The sequence below is a fragment of the Homo sapiens genome, chromosome 20, assembly GCF_000001405.40.
Source record: "Homo sapiens chromosome 20, GRCh38.p14 Primary Assembly".
NCBI lineage: Eukaryota > Metazoa > Chordata > Mammalia > Primates > Hominidae > Homo > Homo sapiens.
The window spans coordinates 56,411,024-56,434,145 of record NC_000020.11 but is presented as its reverse complement, the minus strand read 5'-3'; the positions used below and the strand labels follow the sequence as shown (position 1 = coordinate 56,434,145).

The window sequence follows — 23,122 nt, the reverse complement described above, 5'->3', positions numbered from 1 at the left end:
ATTCACACCTCCACCCACGGTGAATGAGACTGCACAGTTCCTTGTACCCTAATCTACCCTGTGCATTACCTCTTTGTTGGATGATGTATTTGTTTAGAAATCTTTGTCAAGGAAACTTGAAATGTTTCCCAGCACATTCTTAGCAACACCCAGACTACTCAAAACTACAGAATCAGCTGCAGCCCTCATGCCGCTGAGGGAATAACTTGCAGGCAACCCGGGGGATGTGTCACCTCCCTGCTGTACCCACTTTTAACTCATTTTTCCATAGAAAAAAGGTCCCCAAAGGAGTTAGGGGCATGTGTATTGTGAGGGGCATTCCTGCCTGTAGAGATTTCCTCTCTTCTCCATGGTGAAGCAGAAATCCTCAAGTGAGAGGGAAGATATGAAGCTATCACTTGTCTGAGCCCAGTGAGTGTATGAGATGACATTGAAAAGCAGAGAGCTGAGCTACAGCCGATGGACAATGACTGTACTTCCTGGTGTCAGGCATCCCATGGGGTGTCTTTCTGGGTCAGCCAATTGTTCCTTCACAGATTCAGCAAACATTTATGGAATGTTTATTACATATGGCACTGTTGTCGTCCTCGAGTTTTTCAGGGACACAAATTTTGATCATGCCACTCCCCTCTCTACCACCCTTCAGTGGCTCCCTATTACCCTTTGGACAAAGCCCAAACTGTGCCCAAACCATCAAGGCCCTGTGTGATTTTGCCTCTTCCCACACTTCCAGACTCATAGGTATCACTTCCTCACTGGCCTCCAGGGTGTCACCCTTTCTGAGGGCTTGAGTCCCTCCATCATGCTGTTCTCTCTACCCCAAAGCAGTCAGCAGCTTTCCACCCAGTGAAATTCCACACATCCTTTCAGGCTTATCTTAAATGTCACTTCCTTAGAAAAAGGGTCCCTGACACCCTCTTGACCAAACTAGTTCTCCCCATACTTCTGCCCAACACCTTTGCACATCAGTACGTGTCACATTAGGGTTCAACTCATCCAGGGTCTGTCTCCCCATAAGAACGTAAGCTCCAGGAGAGCGAGGGCCACACCCTCTTGTTCTGGACTGCGTCCCATGATCCAGGACAGAGTAGGGGATCTTTAGCTACTTGTTGAATTAATGAATGAAAGAGAGGCGTGACATAACGCCCCCATTTTCAAGTCTTTAAGAGGTAAGAAATCACAAACACCAGGATGAGCGCTCCTATTTCTGTCTGGAGTAGGGTAAGAGGGAAGATTTCTGTGACGCCCCTGCCCACACTTTTGGATGACCTTCGGTAAGAATGACCACCAGCCATGTCCAGAAGATAAACCTCAAGGCGTAACTAGTCTGCACACGGAATCATTATCCCTTGAATGTGTTGGGAGTGGGTTTCACAAGAATGTGGGTGCTGAGCTTGGAGAATCCAGCAGTGATGAAGTATTTAAGGGACTAGAGTTTTAGAGTCTTATAAAGAGTATTGATTAAAGGTCAAGACTTAGGCTGGGTGTGATGGTGCATGCCTGGAATCCCAGCATTTTGGGAGGCCAAAGCGTGTGGATGACTTGAAGCCAGGAGTTCCAGACCAGCCTGGCCAACATGGTGAAACCCCGTCTCTACCAAAAAATACAAAAATTGTCCAGCGTGGTGGTGCACGCCTATAGTCCCAGCTACTGGGGAGGCTGAGGTGAGTGGATGGCTTGAGCCCAGGAGGTGGAGGTTGCAGTGAGCCAAGATCGCGCCACTGCACTACAGCCTGGGTGAGGAAGTGAGACCCTGTCTCTCAAAAAAAAAAAAAAAAAAAAAAAAAAAAGGACTTATGAAACTTACATGCTACTTTGCAGATTTTTTTTCCAGTTAAATAGACAAATAATTGCCGTTCAGTAAAAAACAATAATCTGAAAGCTTTATTATCTGAAAGGTTTATTATCTGAAACAATAATCTGAAAGGTTTATTATCTTGTAGGACTTTAACCAGTTTCATACTTAGCCTTGCAATCACACTCTAATATGCCTTAATTAAATTGCCTATACCTACCTAGCCCCTCAATGATCTCTTTTTAAAAATAAATTCATTCAAGTTGGACAAGTATCCTCAACGATCTTTGACCTAGTTTTAACATTTCATTGATTCCCTATTAATTGATCAAAATTGATTAAAATCTTTGACATGAGTTCATTTTATATTTGCATGAGAGTCATAATTTTGCCTTTTTGAAAACTGTACTTTAACCATCTACATTGGGAACAAAAGGGAAAATAAAAGCCTTTGCAGAGGCTATAATGAAATAATTATGGTATATTTCATCGTAATTCCCATGAAATACATTTAAAGCAATCTTTAAAAACCGATCATCTGAAATGTGCTTGCATTTGTCTAGAAATAAGATAGTGCATATCTTTAGACAGAGCAGTTGTTGCAATATGGCAGCTGCCCTGAAGGGTCCAGATTGAATGCAGCTTAGCTGGCGGATTTGCCTATTGTAAAAGTAAGGACTTTTTCCCAGAGAACAATGGGGTTTTTATGATCATCCACCCCACTGGGCACTCACAGCTGTCCAAGATGAATAGCAGCAGTCTTATTCTTGATATATGATTTATTTTGTAATTTTGACCTGCTGTCTTCAGGACAGCAGACCACATCTTCAAAGGATGTAAACTCCCAGCAAAGGAAAACTCTAAATATGTTGCCATAACACGATTCCCCTCAATATGAATGAAACACTGTATGGCGTTTCATTACAATTGACAGGGGTGTCTCTGGACAGCTCATGCAATCAATTAATTATGCCTCAGCGTTTCAGTAGCAAAGACCATCAATATTAATGTTACAAAAGACGAATGAAATGCATGTGCAAAGTCTTGGGGAGTTCCTTACCTGGAATGGAGGGAAAACAGGGAATTATACTGAATGAGAACCTATTTTGTGTTGGATGCACTGAAGTCATAATATTACCTATTTCTATGAAATCTCAGAGGCAGACTTTCTTATCCCCATTTTACAGATGAGAGAACTGAGGGTCAGAGAGATCAAATGACTTGTCCAAGGTCACTTAAATTCTAATTGGTTCCTCACATCCATTCTTTCACCTTATAATCCACTCTCCAGACACTAGCCAGAATATTTTATTTTATACACATAAAATTGGATCCTGTTGGTCTCTTATTTTAAAAACCTCTAATTGCTTAGAACTGCATTCAGAACAAAAGGTCACCTTCCTAGTGTGGCTTCGAGGCAGGATCAGCCTCCCAGTTTGCAGCTCTACCCTCATTCATTTCCCTCCAGTCACATTGTTTTCTTACTTTTCTCAAATGCCCTGAGGTTGCTTCCACCTCAGACCTTTTCTTTGCTGTTCCTTCTGCCCAGAACTCTCTTCCGCCAGATCCTCCTCCTCTGGGTCTCAGCTCGAGTCACCCCTTTGCAGAGGCTGCCCCTGACCACCCCACTTTTGGCTGGGCTCAGGCTGTTATGGTCAGGCTGGGCGTGCAGGGAGCACTGGACATTGCAATAGCAGCAGCCAGCACTCATCCTGCACCCATGTTCCTGGCGCTGCACTGAGCTCTTTGTGAATAACAGATGGAAGCAGTTGACAGGCCACTCCAAAGGCATCCAGTAACCATTGCAATGGTTGCTGAGGCCACTCACAAGGTATTCTTAAATAGAGTGTTAATTTGGAAATATTTGTGTAGAAATTTCAGAGGTGAAGGAGGATGTATGTTCACATTTTTGTTCCTTGTGGGTACACAAGCAGTTAGATTCTGGGTACAATGGAAGAAATGTTCTTAAACGATTTCCAAAAAGGACATTTCCCCCAAATGCCCATCTTCATACAACAGCTGGGAGAGGGAAAAGGAAAATGAATATGCATTTGGAAGGAAGAACAGGAGGAGGATAGGGAAACAAACGTGAAGAATAAGAGACTCACTGCCTTCATGCTGATGATAACCTCAGTGCAGAGACCTTTCCACAGCTGGCAGGTGCAATGTGCTCATCTAAACCCGAGCAGCCAAGGATACAGTGGTCTTAGCTGCACTTGGAGAAATCTGGGGAGCAATTCATTCATTCATTCATTCACCAAGATTGTATTGAGCATCACGTGTATTCCAGGGGCTCTGCTGGAGGCATCGTGGTGAACAAAACTGTTTCTGATCTCATGCCATGTACATGTTAGTGGAGGAGACAAATTCTAATCAAATCATCACAGAAATAAATACAGGGTTTCCATCTCTTGTAAGTGAGATGGAAAGAAAATACAAGAAGTTATGAGAAATAAAATACAGGAAGTTATAAAAAATACAGGAAGTTATGAAAAAATACAGGAAGTTATGAAAAATTATAAGTGCAGTTGGGAAGTAGTGATGGGTGAGGGCTTAGGGACGTTTACCTGAGAAAGCAGCCATGGAAGCTTCCATCTGGGGGTAAGGAGGAGTTAGATAAGGAGTTAGTCAGATAAAGTGTTAGTCAGATAAAGAGCATTCAGGCAGAGGAAGAGGAATGTGTGGAGGCCGGAGTGCGTGGGTGAGGGGGCGTGTGTGAGTATGAGTGAGTGTGTATGTATGTGTTGGGGGCGCATGGAAAGTTGGAGGAACTGAAAAATGACCAGGTTGCCTGGAGAGAGATCAACAAAGGCCCTGGCTCCTAATTTCCATAGCGGATGCTGTTTATAGGTGGTTACTGGGTGGAAAATGGGGTGCATGGAGCAAGTGGAAGCCAGAGAGGCGATTCAAAGTCAATTGTCTGGTCCAGCTGGGAGATGCCTGTGGCTTGGCTGAGGGCAGAGGCTGGATTTTGTTAGTTTTGGGGAGGAGCTGGTGAAGGACTGGATGCAACTTGAGGTGATGCTTGGAAGAAGAGCAGGAGCATAACTGCAGAGAAGGGAGGGACGCACTGCTGAATGGGCCAGGGAAAGTAAGAAGAAGAGAGGGAACTGGCCCGCACACTTTCATCATCCATGGTGGTATAAGAGACATCCGCAGGCATGGCAGCTCTAGGCAGGAGCAGCTTAGATGAGCCGGGAGAGAAGCAGCTCCTGCAGCCTCAGTTATGCTGCCTCATTGTCCCTGTTCCTGGGATGGAAATCCCCTCTCTAGGCCGGGGTGGACACACTGCCCGGGTGACTGCACCCACGTGCACTCGCCCACATGCACAGCTTGCTTCTCTGCTTTACCTTCAATTTTCTTTCTCTTTAGTTTACTCAAAAGAGCAAAGCTGCAGAAACTCAAGAATGTCAGGGCTGGGGGGCAGGTCGGGGGGTACACTGATTGCTCTGTTGGCCTCATTTTAGTGCTTTGTGGCACCTAAGACTAGGAGAGATTAATGACCTGCCTCTGGTCATGCAGCAGCAGGTAGCAGAGCAGGGATTCAAACTCGCATCCATCTGACTGAAGCCTGCTATTGCCAATACTCTGCACGGCCTTTCCAAGTCCAAGTCTGTTTCCTACTCTAATCTGCTAACTCTTACATCCAAATGTGTGCAAATCCAGAAAGAGCTGGTTTAAAGACAGCTGTAAGGAGAAGCAGCAAACTCAAAGGATTATAGGAGCTGGGCAAGAAATATACATGAGTGAGACAGGCCAGGCGTAAGACATTTGGGTGTGGTGGAGGCTGTGGCATGCTCAGGCAGATCTTAAAATATCACTCCTTGGGCCCAGTGAAGCATTCTGCTGCTGAGTCCAGCCCGCAGCTGAGGTCTTAGAGACCCCATCCAGATTTCCTTTGCAAACTCAACGTTAATAGTCAGGGGGCCTGGGTGTTCCTGCCCAATGCAGGACTCACTGAATGGGCAATCTTTACCCCAAAGCCCCTGTTGAGTTGTCAAGACTATGTCTAAGCTGCCCCACAGTTTGAGGCTGTCTCTACTCTGTCCAGCTCCTTCTCTCTTTCCTGTCACAGGGGTCAGGGCAGCATCATGGCCCCATCCTGCTTCCTCCTTGTTTTATCTTTCACAGCCCGCCTGACACCAAACACTTATGCTCCTAAAATTAAAACAGTAGTAACTATGGGATAGTAAAGTAGAGATCATGAGACCGTTTCCATCCAAGTAACCTAGAATATCATTCTTTCTTTGGGAAGGTAAATCATACAGTGAGGTCACCAGTCCATAGTGGGAGGTGGTAAATAAGGAAGTTCCCCAAACTAGTGGTGGAGATGGTAACTGTGCAAGAAGCCAGAGCTGTAAGTGATGTCTAGGCCCCTGCTCTGTACAAAGATGTAGATCTCCAAGGCCAAGAAGGACATTTTTCTTCTACTAAGATCCTTCTTTGAAAAATGTCCATGTTTCGCATTTCGGCTTCCTTCTCACTGATTCCATGTCTTACTTCCAAGAATTCTTAGTTACTATTCAGGCGAGGTGATGGAATGCTTCCTACTTCCCCTTTGAGGGCCAGGAAAGGATAGTTAGTTATAGAGAAACCACATTTTAAAAACTGCATATACTATAAATATCACAGATCTTTTGATACATGGGAAATGTGAATCCCTGAAGTTCATGAAGGATTTCCATGGATGTAGGAGCTTTTATGTTGAGATCAGTGACATATTCTGTTATACATTTTTATGAGGTAGCTGTGCCCAGACTCAACATCGAGAGAGTGCAGAATGGAGAAAGGGCTCTTTGATCATCTTTCAAGTAAATAGTCTCCCTTCAAATGTACTTGGAAGTATTTCATTTCATGTAAATTCAAATACAGGCTAGGAAAGATTAATGCAGAGAGAAGGGTATTATCTGTTGGCTTGTGAATGTTTACTTTCCATCATTTTAAAAGGATATTATGTTAAAAAAAAGTTTCCAAGAGCGTAAGAAAAATCCCCTCACCACCTACATTTTTCCCACCTACATTCTCCAAAAAGGGAAGACAGAGAAGGAGGAAGGACAACCTGAGGAAAAATCAAAGTATCTACAGACACTTCTTCTGGGAGGGATTTCTGGTGGGTAACAACATTCTGTGAAGTCACCTCCAGAAGGGTGACAGAGGGTTTTTTTTTTTTTTTTTTTAAGAGACAGGGTCTTGCTATGTTGCCCAGGCTGGAATGCAGTGGCTATTCACAGGCATGATCATGGTGCACTACAGCCTTAAACTCCTGGTCTTAAGCAATCCTCCTGCCTCAGCCTCACAGGTAGCTGGGACTACAGGCACACATCACCATGCCTAGCTTAGGGAGTTACAGCAAAGATGATCTGGAAAGTGTCCTCACTTTGCAAACCCCACATAACAATACAGACTTCTCACACACTGTGTGTGTCAGCTAGTATTATTTTCCTATAACTAACCAAATAAGGGGGAGAAGCTGGCTGGGTGCGGTGGCTCATGCCTGTAATCCCAGCACTTTGGGAGGCTGAGGTGAGCAGATCACTTTGAACTCAGGAGTTTGAGACCAGCCTGGGAAACATGGTGAAACCTCATCTCTACCAAAAATATAAAAATTATCTGGGCATGGTGGCACATGCCTGTAATCCCAGCTACTTGGGAGGCTGAGGCTGGAGGATGGCTTGAACATGGGCTAGGTGGAGATTGCAATGAGCCGGGATTGTGCCACTGCTCTCCAGCCTGGAAGACAGAGTGAGACCTTGTCTTGGCGGGGGAGGGGGAGGCGGAAAGAAGAAGAAGAAGGGGGAAAAAAAAGAAGAAGAAGAAGAGGGAAAAATCCTCTTTAATCTTTTAGATTCAATGTAGCCCCTCACAAAACCATTCTGTTCGCCCTGAAAGGAGTGTCTGTCGCACTCTAACTACGCAGGAACTGTGTCAGTCTTGTCCACTGTTTAGCCAACGCCTCGGGAATCAGGATAGCTCGCGGGTTCTCAACTCTGTGTCAGGCACTGGGATAAGCAGTCAGCACTGATGACCGCATTTGATATTCAAAAACCTTATGAAGCAGGTACTATAACTAACATCTCATTTAGGAGATGAGTAAGCCAAGGCACAGAGAGGGTGAGAAAGTAGCTTAAGGTAGTTCAGCGATCAAGGGCCAACGCCAGGACTGGAATGCAGGCAGTTTTGGGTCTGGAGTGTGCTCTTTTAGCCTACAAACCACTCTGCTTAGCACAGACTCTATCACAAGACGGTGTGGACATCTTAGCAGATACAAGATGGCAAAGTGCCTCCTGGGAGAGGGAGATGAAGCTGAGAAACGGAGACATTTGTATAATGGAGTACAATGTAGCCATTACAAGAATGAGGTAGAGCTTATGTCAATGGAAACGGGACAATCTCCAAAATGTAGTATTAAATTTTTTAAAAAGAGCAAGATGAGCATAGGTCTGCATTGATGCTTTTATAAGTATAGCATCTTTCTGGAAGATTATGTCACTCACTGAGGGTCCCTTCTGGGTAGGAAACAGGGGTCTGGGGAGTTAGAGGTTTGGGATTAGATAAAAACACTTTGAGTCCATGTTCATTTGTACAGTTGGAATTCCTAAAACCATGTGTAAATATTCTTTTTCAATATAAAAATCTAATTTACAAAGGATTCTGTTCTATTGGAAGAAGAGGACTCCTGCGCTGGTGAATTTAAGCAGCTGCTTGTCGTTACCACGCAAGCCCTTTCTACTCCTAGATTAGATAGAAAGGAATTTTGACTTTGAGTCCATCTTAATCTTGGCCAAAAGCAGTTTGCCACATGCAGGAAGACTTCTTACCTCCCTGAACTTCCAGGATGCCAAACATCGTCAACTACTTCTCACTGGCCATCCCTCAAAGGGCCTGGACCGTGTACAGCATGGAGGATGCTGAAAGGTGCTTGAGTGGTTTCTGAGAACTAGCTGATTTTGTGAGCATTTACCTCTTCCTTGAGAGTAGGGCCACAGAGTGGAACCACACAGAGAGGGCAACGAATGACTGTTAAATGGGATCTAACTGCAGGTGCATTAAGAGTCACAGAAGTTTAGACTCAAAGTGTTTTAAAGATTTGTCTGGCCTGGTCCAGGCAAGTTGAGGAGGCACTGAGAGGATCTCAAAGCTCCTGGGGGAGGCTCGCTGCCCTTCCTGCTATCCCAGTGATCCTTGAACTCTCCTTTGGCCAGCTGCAGAATGATCTGAGTACTGTGTACAAAGACCCAGGCCAGAGAGGAGGGCCTCCCATGATGGGACATGTTCCCCAAGGCCAAAGTTAGGATATGCAGTATCAGGACACAGTAGCTGCATGTTGCATGTGTGTGATGTTGGGGAAAACATTCAGAATAACCATGTCCCTACTTTCCTCCTGGAAAACCTCCTACAACTCCTGAAGTTGTGCTGTGAGGTCTGCAGTTGAGAAGGGAGCACCAGGCAACCAGCCACCTCCTCCCTCATCTAACATTCATTTCTCTCTCCCTTCCTCCCTCCATTTTTGCCAGCTCATTCCTGTCTTCTCTTTGTCCCTTGTGCCTCCTTCCCCTTTGACATAGTTACCCAAGAAAGAACCTGTGATTTTTTTTTTTTTTTTTTTTTTTGAGACAGAGTCTCGCTCTGTCATCCAGGCTGGAATGCAGTGGTGCGATCTCTGCTCACTGCAACCTCTGCCACCTGGGATCAAGCAATTCTCCTGCCTCAGCTTCCCGAGTAGCTGGGACTACAGGTGCATGCCACCACACCCGGCAAATTTTTGTATTTTTAGTAGAGACGGGGTTTCCCCATGTTGGCCAGGCTGGTCTCGAACTCCTGACCTCAGATGATCCACCCGCCTTGACCTCCCAAAGTGCTAGGATTACAGGCGTGAGCCACCATGCCTGGCCGAAGCTGTATCTTAACTTTTCTTTTCCCCCATGAATTGCAGTGGCTTTCCATATCAATATTTACATTTAAAAGTAAAATTCCTTAAGTTATGAGGAATTGTCACTTAAAATAGCAAAATGGTATATTTCATAACCAGAACTTGCTTTAAGAATTTGCAGGTAGATTAAACTATCTCTTTAATTTGTCATGCCTAATGTGTGAGAGAATTAGTTTATGAGGTTGTTAAACTTGAGACAGCTTTGCTTCAATAATCTGCATCTCATTATCAGAAATATTTTGAATTCTTTTAATGAGGTGATAGCTAAGTAGTTTCTTGCATCATCTCACATAAAGGACAGTTGTTTCTCTTGGAGCTGTTTAAAAAAAACTTAGCAAAGTAGTTAAGTGAGAGATGCTGAAGGGAAACTGCTGCCTTTTTTTGTGATTAATATTAATTTGCCAAATAGGCTAGGAAAAGAACTGAGTTTCTGCTTCAGCCCCGTTTTTGAAAAAGGTGAAAATTATTGAATGAAAAGCTCCAGAATGTGCAGAAAATGATCTGAAAGTTACTTAACTGGAAGTGTGAATTGAAACTCCCTTTTTCCAACTACTCTTATATTTAAGTAACATTTAAGGCCAGGCGCAGTGGCTCATGTCTGTAATCCCAACACTTTGGGACGCCGAGGTGTGCGGATCACTTGAGGTCAGGAGTTCAAGACCAGCCTGGCCAACATGGTGAAACCCCGACTCTACTAAAAATACAAAAATTAGCCGGGCATGGTGGTGCATGCCTGTAGTCCCAACTACTGGGGAGGCTGAGACAGGATAATTGCTTGAACTTGGGAGGTGGAGGTTGCAGTGAGCTGAGATTGCGCCACTGCATTCCAGCCTGGGCAACAGAGCAACACTCCATCTCAATAAATAAATAAATAAATAAAATAAAGTAATGTTTAAGCTTTAAAACAAAACTTAATAGAATAGAATATAACTTTCTAAACAAAAATATAAGGTCTCCCTTTTTGGTTTCAAAACCTGATGCAACTTTCAATTGTTTCCCATGGTGTGACAGTCATTTGGAAACCATCATTACCTACTTCCTTAATATAGTGGGGAGCATTGGAAATAACAAGCTCTGGACCCCTTTATATAGTCAACTCAGAGTCCCACACAATCAAAGAGTTGTAGGAAATGGATGTCAGAAGACAGAAACTCAGATACTCACATTCACCTTCATCTTGATCCTTTAAAGAAACTATTTTAAAAAGTACTATCCATATCCTGGAAAACACCAGCAGAAGTCGCTTGGGAAGGGAAATCTTTCTGTAGGAGTTTGTGCAGGAATGCTGTGAGGTCTGGGTCTAAACTTTCTCTGCAGCTGTCCTTGCCTGTGGATCTGGCCAGTGGGTCTCTAAGCTCCTGGGGGAGGCTCACTGCCCTTCCTGCCACCCCAGCCATGGGGAAGGATGGGCTGGTTACATAACGCATTCTCTCCCACACTCCCATTGGTTCCCTCCCATCCAAATGGATGCAAATAGCCTTTGTGGCCGGTTTATCCAGAGAAACCAGGGACAAAGAAGTGAATGAACCGGGTGAACTTGGATATGAGGAGGGATATGAGAGAAAAAGAAAAACTTTAATGAAAAGAGAGTTCCTTATTTTCTTAAGACCTCTAAAAATAATCGTGGAGAATGGCACATGCTGTGAATAAACGCAAACTTTAACTGGTTCTCCATGATAACATTGAACTCTGACCCAGCCAGCTTTGAATTCTTCCTGATGATTCAGATGAAAAAGCCACACATTAAAGGAACTTCCGCAGCTGTAGGAGGCACTGCCTACTAACGGGGCTTTGAGGAGGAGGTTGTGGCCAGAAAAAAATTCCAAAGCCACCCAGTGGAAATGAAACATTTGCTTCCCTGATACCTGAATACTGTGCTTTTCCAGCAGGTTTGGGTGTTACCCAGATCGACATGCTTTAATATACTTCCTCTACTCATGGAAACCTTGCTAAGCTGCACTTAAGGCTTCATTGAATTGGCAATTATTTATCAAGCACCTACTGTATGTCTGACAATATACACCGGGGGAACAGGTGACTGGTTTCCTTGATCTAAGCTCAGGATTGAAATGATGCAACAATAAAGGTCTCTCAGGCCTTCACATAATTGATTATCATGGATGTGGCCCAAGATGGGCCCATGTCATACCAGACTGCATTCTCCAACTCAAAGTGCTCCAGAGATCGTAGTGTGTTCATTCACAGCCTTGCCACTGCCTGCCACCGCCAAGTCTATTCCTTGCCAGCTAAGTCCCTGAGTTATTGCTTAAGATATTTGGTTTGGGGAACTGTTGGATCAAGTCAAGGGGCTGACAATTTCACCCTTGCTCATGAAAAACCCACCGAAGGAGGAGGCAAGTAACAGAACTTCTCTGGGTTTCAGTTTCTTCACCTGAAAGTGAGATAGCTTCCCAGGGCAATCGCCAAAGTTCCCATCCAGCTGCAAAATCTACATTTCCCATGAATTCTTCTCTTACTCTTACCTCTTAGTTCATGAAAGCCATCTGAGGGATTACAGAGAAAATAACATGCAGGTGCTTTTCTCTCTAACTTCCTTTCCTTTCCTTCCCTCTTTCCTTTTTTCTTTTTTTAAGGAAAAAAGTGAGGAAAGGCATAAAGAAAGAAGGAGTTTTGTGTTATTTGATGGGTCGTAAGCAATTATGCCGACACCAATTAGAAGAAAACTTTGTCTAAGCCTGTGTTTCTTTTTCTCTTTTCTTTTCTAGAGACAGGGTCTCACTTTGTCACCCAGGCTGGACTGCAGTGACGCGATCACAGCTCACTGCAGCCTCGAACTCCTGGGCTCGAACGATCCTCCCACCTCAGCCTTTCAAGTAGCTAGGACTACAGGCATGAGCCACCAAACCCAGCTACTTTTAAAAATTTTTTGTAGAGATAGTCTCGCTATGTTGCCCAGGCTGGTCTCCAACAGCTGGGCTCAAGCGATCCTCCCACTGCAGCCTCCCAAAGTGCTGGGATTACAGGCGTGGACTACCACACCCAGCCCCCAGCCTGTGTTTCTAAAGGGTTTTGTGTCTAGCAACTGCCTGCTTCCTGTCATATCCACGTGCCACTACAATTTTTTAGGTAAAATAACAAATTGAGTCAATTAAAAAACAACTGTCCCTCAGCGATGTTACCCATGAAATTACAGGTTTGATGAGCTAGTTTTAGTTTGTTTGAATGCAAATCAAGATACACCAGTATTGTACAAAAACTGTTCTGTGCACCACACTTGAAATCCTCTGGCATGCCTGCAGTCAGGGCACTTCCATTTGATTGACCCGGAAGAATTCAAAGCTGGCTCAAGCTGTTTAATGCATGACAGAGAAATGAGTGAAGGTTCAGGCTTGTTCACCAAACTTTTCCATCTTTCTATGGTCATTTTTAGAGGTGCTTCAGGAAAGCAAGGAGCCACTCTTTTGTTTAAGCTTTTCTTCTTTTGTTCTGTTGGTGTGAATTTATTGCAATTCACTAGGTTTGTTCGTTTAGTTGTTAATAATGGACTACACATAAACCCACCCCAGTCCTTATTTGGGATACCCAAAGGGGGCTTACCGAGAATGTCTTATGTAACTGGCCCTGACTCCCAGTGGCTGGCAATTCACCTCACTTTGGGGAACACCAGTGTAAGGAAGGAGCACCTTGAGTTGTTTGTTATTGATTACTGACTCTTGTGCTTCTATTCCCCTTTCAACCGTGGGGAGACTCTCACTTTTGAACCTGGGCCGGGTGTGGTGGCTCACTCCTGTAATCTCAGTGCTTTAGGAGGCTGAGGCAGGAGGACTGCTTGAGGTCAGGAGTTCGAGACAAGCCTGGGCAATATAGGGAGAGCCCCTCATCTCTACAAAAAAAAAAAAAAAAATTAGATGGGCATGGTGGCGTGCACCAGTAGTCTCAGCTACTTGGGAGGCTGAGGCAGGAGGATTGCTTGAGCCCAGGAGTTTGAGGTTGTAGTGAACTATGATAACGCCACTGCACTCCAGTCTGGGTGACAAAGTGAGACCCTGTCTCTAAAAGAAAATTTCTGAACCCAAAGTGAACATTCCACAAAGCACTTTTCACTTACTGTTAACCAGATGGCAAACACCTCCAAGACACAGGGATGACCCTACTGCTCTTTTGCCCCCTGTCCCTCCCTAACCCCACAAAAGACAGACTGCCTGGGCTGTCCAGAACATGTAGAGCAAACAAAAGCTGCTCTTGATGATAAGGTGAAGCAGTTGTTCAAAGGAAAAGAACAATACATTCACTAACATAAACTCGTGGAGAAACTCTCTGAGTGGCCAGGTAGGTGGCCTCAAATTGCCTGTGAATAACTTTTTCACAGTCCACACTCATCTCCTAGAGGAGCTTTCTTTTGTTTGTTTGTTTTTGAGATGGAGTTTTCGCTCTTGTTGCCCAGGCTGGAGTGCAATGGCGTGATTTCGGCTCACCACAACCTCCGCCTCCTGGGTTCAAGCGATTCTCCTGCCTCAGTCTCCTGAGTATTTGGGATTACAGGCGTGCACCACCAAGCCCAGCTAATTTTTGTGTTTTTAGTAGAGATGGGGTTTCTCCATGTTGGTCAGGCTGGTATTGAACTCCCGACCTCAGATGATCCACCTGCCTTGGCCTCCCAAAGTGCTGGGATTACAGGCATGAGCCACTGTGCCTGGCCTCCTAGAGGAGTTTTAAGAGTGCAGAGCCTAGCCGGGCACGGTGGCTCACGCCTGTAATCCCAGCACTTTGGGAAGCTGAGGTGGGCCAATCACTTAAAAACAGGAGTTCGAGACCAGCCTGGGCAACATGGTGAAAAAAAACCCACCTCTACTAAAAATACAAAAATTAGCCGGGCACAGTGGTGCATGCCTGAAGCCCCAGCTACTTGGGAGGCTGAGGTGGGAGGATCACTTAAGCCAGGAGGCTGAGGTTGCACTGAGCTGAGATTGTGCCACTGTACTCCAGCCTGAGCGGGGGTGGTGTGGGGGAAGTGCAGGATCTCCCACACTGAGAGCTGGGGATGCTTTCCCAGGAACAAGAGGCCACGCATATTCTTCTCAGTCTTCTCAGTGTCGACTATGCTTTTCGTAGGTGTGTGTACAAGGCTGCTCTTCCCCTGAACAAACACTTCATAGGCGTTATGTTTGGAAATGGTTCCTAAAAAATGTATTTCCTTTTTTTGCAACTCAAGTTGGAGTGTTCTAATCTCCCCCTCCGTGGCAGCTCTCTTACCAGCCTCCCACCTTCCTCCTTTTAAGCTATTTCCCCTTCAGGCCCCTGTCATTTCCTCCCTTAGTCATCGCAATTCCAAAACGGCCCTGTTTTGATTCTACAGTTGCTTCCCCATTCCATTATCGTGTCGGCCAATGCCTGTCTATTCTCAGACCTTTTAAGTTTTGGGGTGATGGTGGCATTCTCCTTAGCTTTTTTTCCCCCCAAGTGTGCTCTATAGGAAATAAAATGTTCAAAGACTACAGGTGATTAAACAGGGGAACCAATAATGAGTATGTGATGGATTTTTTATTAGTCATAATAATTATTTACTACATATGGAGAAAGGGGACCAGGCACTTGGACTTGGAAGCATTTAGAACAGTGCCTGGTGTGCAGCAGGCATTCAATATTTGTTGACGGAATGAAAGGTACATTGTGTTCCTGAATCAAACGTAACACACATAAATAGAAGCTATCTACTCCTTGATTTACTATTTTTTCTGCTCACAACCACTCCCCACCCGACACGGCGACCAGCGGTCTCAAACATCAAAAGTTCTACTTTTTTAAAGACAGAGTACACGATTCTCCTTCGTGTCCATGGAGAAGAGCAGGGTACCACCCCAGTGGAAAATGAAGCCACCTACACTGAAGTCTCCACGTTTACCAGCTTTTGCTCTTTCCTACTTACAGCCCATCTGTTGCACAGCAGCCTGAGTGATCTAGAAAACATAAATTAGATCATGTCATCTCCTGCTTTAAGTGGGCTGGTGGTTTCCTTTGCAATTAGAATGGCTTCAAAGCTCTTACACGGCCGACCAGGCCCTATGTTATCCTGCTTACACCTCAGATCTCACTTCTGACCCCTCTCTCTCTTGGTTTACTCTTCTTTGACCCCATGGGTCTTTACAGGGGCCCTGTACTATGCTGAATACCTTCCCACTGCAGGCCCTTGGCATCTGCTGTTCCCTCTTCCTGGAAAGCTTTTCCCATCTCTTGGGTGTTCAGAGTGGCCTTTTCCATCCATCGCCTCCATCAGATCCCCCTGTTTTCTCCTCTTTCTGGCAGTTCTCACCACCTGAAACCATGGGTCTATTTACTCACTGTCATGCTCACTCCATTGGAATGTCAGCTCTGTCTTGATCACCCTGAACCCCCGGAGCCCAATAACTATGCATTGGGTGAATGGCTGAGGCATGGATGGTGAGCTGTGTTTTCGAGTTGGGTGTTGTGTCTGGGCTGTTTTGCCTCGTGGAATAGATGAAGGGAGGAAGTTGCTGGGAAATGCTGGAGGGAGGCTACAGGTCTTTGTGACCTTGATTTCAATAGCAACAGCTTGCATCTAAGGCAACATCTGACCATGGACAAGGAGGGGGACAATTGTCAAGAGAACAGGCTGAGTGGCAGCTTAGGCTGACGCCAGGTAGGGGTTAGAGAGCTGAGAGTCAGGAATGACCTCCGTTGCCAAACACCTGCTGACTAGAAAGTAGTGCTGTTCCTATCCTCACAGCGGGGCTGCAGCCAGGGCTCCACCTGCACTCCCTGTAAGCTCCCATTCGTTCACACACTACCACAAAGCATGTATTGAGCAACTACTTTGTGCAGGCACTGTTGTAGGCACCGGAGATGCAGCACTGAGTAAGAAAGCCCAGGTCTGTCCCTCATGGAGTTTCGTTCCCAGAGAGGAAGACAGAGGAACAAACAAAGTGAGATAATTTCAGATCTTAATAAGTGAAGGTAAGATAGATGAGAGTGTTGGCGGTGGGCCTGTGTAGGGGGGAAGTGATTTGCACAGCGTGGTCCAGAGAGGCCTCTGGGTGAGGCGATGCTTGCTAGAGAGAGAAGAATCCAAGGCGGGGAACAGCAGGGGAGAAGGGGAAGGAACTGAGGCAGGAGAGCTGCTCGGAGTGGGATCTAATGGGCCCTGAAGGGCCAGGTCAGCTTTCTGCACACAATCCCATTTGCCCTTCAACAAAGACTGAGTTTGAAATGTCTTGCTCACCACCTCAGAGCTGCTAAAGGTACAAAGAGAACCTAAAACTGCTCTCCACTCACAAACGAAGCCTCACCAGGCTTTCTTGCCCAGAAGCACTGAAGCAAGCCAAGTCCCAGCAAGTGGTACACACTTCCAAGCCAACACATTTTGTCGTGTTTAAACCAACCTTGAGATGTGGAAGATTTTTTAAAAAATTCTACATTTTTACCTTGATCCTTCTTGAGTGGGTCCAAAACCATGCCACTCAGAGTTGAGATGGGAGAGAGACAAAAAAGATTTGCTCTTTAATTGAGGCTGAATTTAAAATGTGAAAGATAATCACATTTAAATGTTCTTACAGTATAAATATTGGACCATCCACTCTTCAGTAACATAGTAAAGATGCTTGCTTGAAAAATGCCTTCAGAAAACTGAATGAGCACATAGCTGTCTTTATAAAAGAAAGTACAGATTGTAGAGAAAATACTGGGGAAAGTAGGTTTAAAATAGAATCAAATATCAGAAATTCTCAGAAAATGATGGAAAATAAGTGCCAAAGCTTATTTCATTCAGTAAAATCCTCTTTCAATTCCTGGACATTTACTCCAGTGAGAAAATCATGTTATTGGGGAAAAAAGGGCTGTGTATGAAGATGCTAATTTCAATATTACCTGTAATGGCATGTGTGCATACACACACACACACACACACACACACACACGGAAGTAAACAGAATTTATAGCAAACAGGACTGAATCACTAAAGTACATTGCAGACTCTATTTTCGTAACTAAGGCATCTTGAAACTACCAAAAATCCAAAATAAGAACTTACGTATAATAAGCCCACTTATCCTCCTTGTCTTTTAGACAATTTTAGTTCTTTTAGAACTAAATTTCTGGCTGGGCGCAGTGGCTCACGCCTGTAATCCCAGCACTTTGGGAGGCTGAGACAGGCAGATAACTTGAGGTCAGGAGTTCGAGACCAGCCTGGCCAATATGGTGAAAACCCGTCTCTACTAAAAATACAGAAATTAGCTGAGCATGGTGGCACATGCCTGTAATCCCAGCTACTTGGGAGGCTGAGGCAGGAGAATTGCTTTAACCTGGGAGGTGGAGGTTGCAGTGAGCCAAGATCATGCCACTGCACTCCAGCCTGGACGACAGAGTGAAACTCCACCTCAAAAAAACCCACGAAAACTAAATTTCTAGTATTTCTTGAATGGAGTTGACTAGTTGGCTAGAGTTCCACAAACCAATGAATGAGGTGTTAAATTTACCACCTTTGAGGCCAGTGTTTCCTATCACTAATATCACGTGTTTTAAAAAAATTTCGCCTTGTTCTATAAAACAATTTTTAAAAAATAGAATAAATCAGTCTGGATATTACACAAAATCTGCCATGCACAAAGGTGAAAGCAGCTCTACTGGCAACGGAGCTACTGGCCAGCAGGTAGAATTAGGAACAGCTTGCGAGAACAGTCCCTGTTTACCATACGATGTACAAAGGCGAACTTCAGGGTCTGAAAGGCTATCTGCGGTGGCCCTGAATGAAAGGCAGGGTTGTTTTAAAGGCGAATGCCCCAAAGCTAAGGACCACTGACATGACATGACCCCTTGAAGCATTGTGCTACCATTTATAAAGCAATTGAGCAACAATGTAGGCATTAAGATTAATGAGATGGATCAACTGCACTAATATGAACTGAACACCAGTACGTATTGGTAGTTGCTAAAGGCAAGAAGCTCAACAGATCTTTACTTACAGCTCCTATTTGTGTAAAACCTTAAAACATGTATCTTATAGATGCATTGATAGTTTCTGTAGGGACACCCAAGAAACAGTTAACTGAGGATGCCTCTGAACTAGGTGTCGACAACTTGGGTGTTTCCTGGTACTGCGTGGGTGGGTGGGGGTGGCCTACGTAAACTGAGATGACATAGGCTGCTACACAAGGGCCTGTGGACCAAATCTAGATGGATGACCCATAAGTGAAGAATGACTGTACATATCTTAAGGACTGCATAAACAAACAACCATATGCAACAGAGATTGTATTTGGCCTGCAAAGCATAAAATACTATCTGACTCTTTATGAAGAGTTTGCCAACCCCTGGTACAAGGGAGAGAATATAATGAGCTAAGAATGGAGCTCTGAGCTTAGTCTGCCTGGGGTTGATTCCTGGCATTGCCACCTACTAGCTGTATGGCCTTGGGCAAGTCAGCGAGGCCTCGTTTCCTCGTCTGTGACAGGGGAATAATACCTCTGCTTCATGAGGATGTTGTGAGGATGTAATAGTGAGAAAATGCAAGTAGAGCACTCAGCACAGGGCCTCACATGTAGACAATCGGTAAGGGTTGGCTACTATTTATATATATATATAAAGCAATTCTCCTGCCTCAGCCTCCCGAGTAGCTGGGAATACAGACGTGCACCACTATGCCCAGCTAATTTTTTTGTATTTTTACTAGAGATGGGGTTTCACCATTTTGGCCAGGCTAATCCCCTGACCTCAGGTGATCCACACGCTTCAGCCTCTGAAAGTGGTGGGATTACAGGCATGAGCCACCGCTCCCGGCCTATCTGTATAATATTAATAGCAGAATTTCATGGGGATGCTGGGAATATCAATTATATGTTCTATGCAAACATGCATGTTATTTACAAATTGCAGTGGGGCTCGGTGGTGTGCACCTGTAATCCTGTACTTGGGAGGCTGAGGCAGAAGAATCACCTGAGTTCAGGAATTTGAGTCCAGCTTGGACAACAGAGTGATACCCCCATTGCTAAAAATATTTTTTTTAAATAACAAAACCCCACCCAATTGTAAAGCGCTACATAAATTATTTAGGCAGAATAAGCAGTACATAAAAAGAAGTCTAAATCATAAAAAATCTAGGCTGTTTAGAAAAAAGGTCAATGTTATGAAAGAGAAAAAGGTAGTAGATTGTTCTAGATTAAGAACTGAGAATTGACAAACACCACCTGGATCAGAAAGACAAACACACACACAAACAACAACAGCCAGAAAAGCTAAAAAGGATAATTTTGGAAAATGTGAATGTGGACTGAATAGTAGAATGGCATTATTAAATCAACGTGAATTAGACTGAATAGTAGAAAGGCATTATTAAATAAATGTGAAATGTTCTTGGGTATGATGATATGTAGATATTCTTCTACGTTCTGTAGATGAATGTCCTTGTTCTTAGGAGACACATAATGAAGTTTAGGGGTGGAGCGTCATTGTATTGGCCATTTATTTTCAAAGAGTTTAACAACAACAATAAAAATGAAGTGTGTTCCAGTGTCTAAATATACACAAATAAATGCACACAAATATGACAAAGTACCAGAAACCAATGATCTAGGTGAAGGATATGCAGGGATTTACTGAATAACCCCCACGCTTCCCATATTTTTCCAATGGTTTGAAATTTTTCAAAGTAAGTAGTTGGGGACAAAATTCTAGGGTAGCTAAGATATTTACATATAATCTATACAAGAGAGACTGTCATGGGTTACTCAGTCACAAATTCCACTAGTGACTTTTTTTTTTTTTTTTTTTTTTTTTTTGAGACAGAGTCTTGCTCTGTCACCCAGGCCGGAATGCAGTGGTATAATCTCAGCTCACTGCAACCTCTGCCTCCCAGGCTCAAGCGATTCTTGTGCCTCAGCCTCCCGAGTAGCTGGGATCACGGGCATGCGCCACCACGCTCAGCTAATTGTTGTATTTTTGGTAGATATGGGGTTTTTTCATGTTGATCAGGCTGGTCTCAAACTCCTGGCCTCAAGTGATCCACCTGCCTTGGCCTCCCAAAGTGCTGGGATTACAGGTGTGAGCCACCGCAGACAGCCACACTAGTCACTTTTATTATAATGAAAAATAAGCATTGATTTTTATAAGCAAGCTCCCCATTTACTGCTTGTTTCATTTCTTTTTTCCTGTTCTACTTAAAATTTAAAAAGGGCATAGCAAGATGAAAACACAACCTTGAGCTTCACTTTCTTTATGTCTGGGTAAATTTTTTTTTAATATGGTAGCCATTTTAACTTTTCTTTTCTTTTTTTTTTTTTTAAGATGGGGTCTCGCTATGTTGCCCAGGCTGGACTCAAACTTCTGGGCTGAATTAATCTTCTCACCTCAGCCTCTCCGGTAGCTGGAGTACAGGTATGTACCACCGTGCCTGGCTTCTTTCACCTTTCTAAATAGTGAATCTTTTTTGATTCATGACAGGCATGAAGTCTGTCTGAAAGCTCCAGCTTTGCTCACATAATGCACAAGTTAACATGAAAATAACATGTAAGTGCCCACTGTGGGCTCAGCACGGGAGGCTGCAGGCAAGGGTCTGGGCTCTGCTGTTGGGAGGTGAGCACAGAAACCAAATAGGACAGTTAGAGTGGCACTGAGTGTCTTTGGGGTCCAGAGAAAGAAGGAATTAGCGGGGGCTGAGGCAGACTCGCATCTTGCTTCAGGAGTTTGCTGGACGCAAAATGATGGACGGCGCTGTCAACCAAGTAAGCTGATTTCTACTACAAAGTCATTTTCACCCATCTTGGATGCAAACTGGTAAGGAGCTTTACAACACATCTATTTCCCACACTTAAACTTATGTTAAACTTTCCCATCTCCAACTCACACGTCACTGGTATTCAACCTTTATTAGAAAGTCACAACTAAAGCTGGTCAACACCCTTAATCATCACAGCTTGCTCCCCGCCAGAGCCCATTCAAACAGCCCCACATCACTCACCTTGGGCGCACAGTCCATGATGCCTGTTCCCTTCATGTCGGTGATGTGGAGCAGCTCCCCTGAGCTCTGCAGCTAGTATCTCCAGCTTCAGAGGCAGATTGTGCAATGTCACTGCATGCTTCTGGCTGGTTCTCAGAAACTGAATTCTATGGAGCTATCTGACAACACATGGGAAACGATCAAAAAGACTCTCCCAGCAGGCAAACTTTCTGGAAAGCACGATAAGAGTAAAATGAAAGCAGTGAAGCAGGGGAGGACCAGAAATACAAGCCACACTCACGTCTCAATGCCTGACGTCTCACTTTGTCTGTAAGTAGAGACTGTCACTCATTTGCTATGTGAAACCACAAAAGAAGAAGAAGAAGAAAAAAACACCACTCTTCTGCTTTATAGGGCGAAGTTCCTACTTCGAAGAGCTCAGTGTATGAACACACAGCATTCTTGTCCTTTGAACTCTGTGGAACAACTCCAACCGAACAGACCAAGCTCATTTCCCTGATGAGAGGCCACTAGGCCAAATTTCTGATAGCGGTCAGCATTTCTTCCTTCCTGCTCCCTAAAACTTGCCTTATGACAGCCAGGATAAAAGCAGTCAAACAGGCTGCCTTAAAGGACACAGTCTCCACTCTACCCACCCTGTCAGTTGTGCATTCACCCTGCTCGGAACCCCATGCTCATCTCCTGGTCTTTGCTCATGGTACCTAATGAATAACATCTTCTGGGTACTGGCTCTGCACTGAGGGCTATGCTGAGCCCCGCACCTGTATTCTCTCTCTTAAATCAAATAAACTTATCGTGTGTGTTGTACTTGAAACCCCTGCTAGCTCATGCAGTTTATCATCACTTGCCAACTCTTTTTACTTTTCCTAAATTCAGATCCAATCTCTAGAGAGGACCTACAGCATAGCAGACACTGAGCAAAATAAGTCTGCATTTTTTTTTTTTTTTGAGACGGAGTCTTTCTCTGTCACTCAGGTGGGAGCGCAGTGGCGCAATCTCGGCTCACTGCAACCTCCACCTCCCGGGTTCAAGTGATTCTCCTGCCTCAGCCTCCAGAGCAGCTGGGATTACAGGCACCCGCCACCACGCCTGGCTAATTTTTGTATTTTCAGTAGAGACAGGACTTCACCATGTTGGCCAGGCTGGTCTCAAACTCCTGACCTCAAGTGATCCACCCACCTCAGCCTCTCAAAATGCTGGGATTACAGGCGTGAGCCACAACGCCTGGCCCCGGCCTGCATTTTTATTTAGACAAAATGGTGCCCATTCTTCCAAGCCAGGCTCAAGTTCTATCCCCAACCAGCTGTGGGGGATAGCTTACCGCTATCTTCTTGTCAGACAGCATTTTTTAATTTTTTATTTTTAAATTTTCTTTTCTTTTACCACACCTCTGAGGCAAGTTCAACAGATAGCACTTAGCGTCTTGTCCTCTGGTTGTCCCATGTGTCGTCCCCACAAGTCTGGGCACCAG

At 44.6% G+C, this 23,122-nt stretch overlaps 1 protein-coding gene across 5 annotated transcripts in view; it reads right to left on the bottom strand.

Annotated features, from left to right (window-relative positions):
• Nucleotides 1-22,110, bottom strand: part of CASS4 (Cas scaffold protein family member 4) — a 48,347-nt gene extending 26,237 nt beyond the window's left edge. For 3 of the 5 annotated variants that reach the window (NM_020356.4, NM_001164115.2, NM_001164114.2), the window contains exon 1: nucleotides 21,652-21,886. In NM_020356.4, coding sequence (NP_065089.2) covers nucleotides 21,652-21,687 — 36 coding nt within the window. In that variant the 5' untranslated portion in view covers nucleotides 21,688-21,886. Of the gene's footprint in view, nucleotides 1-21,651; nucleotides 21,887-21,931 lie in introns of those variants that run through there. The other 2 variants (NM_001164116.2, XM_006723831.4) reach the window with 1 other exon arrangement.
• Between the last annotated feature and the right edge of the window lie 1,012 nt (nucleotides 22,111-23,122).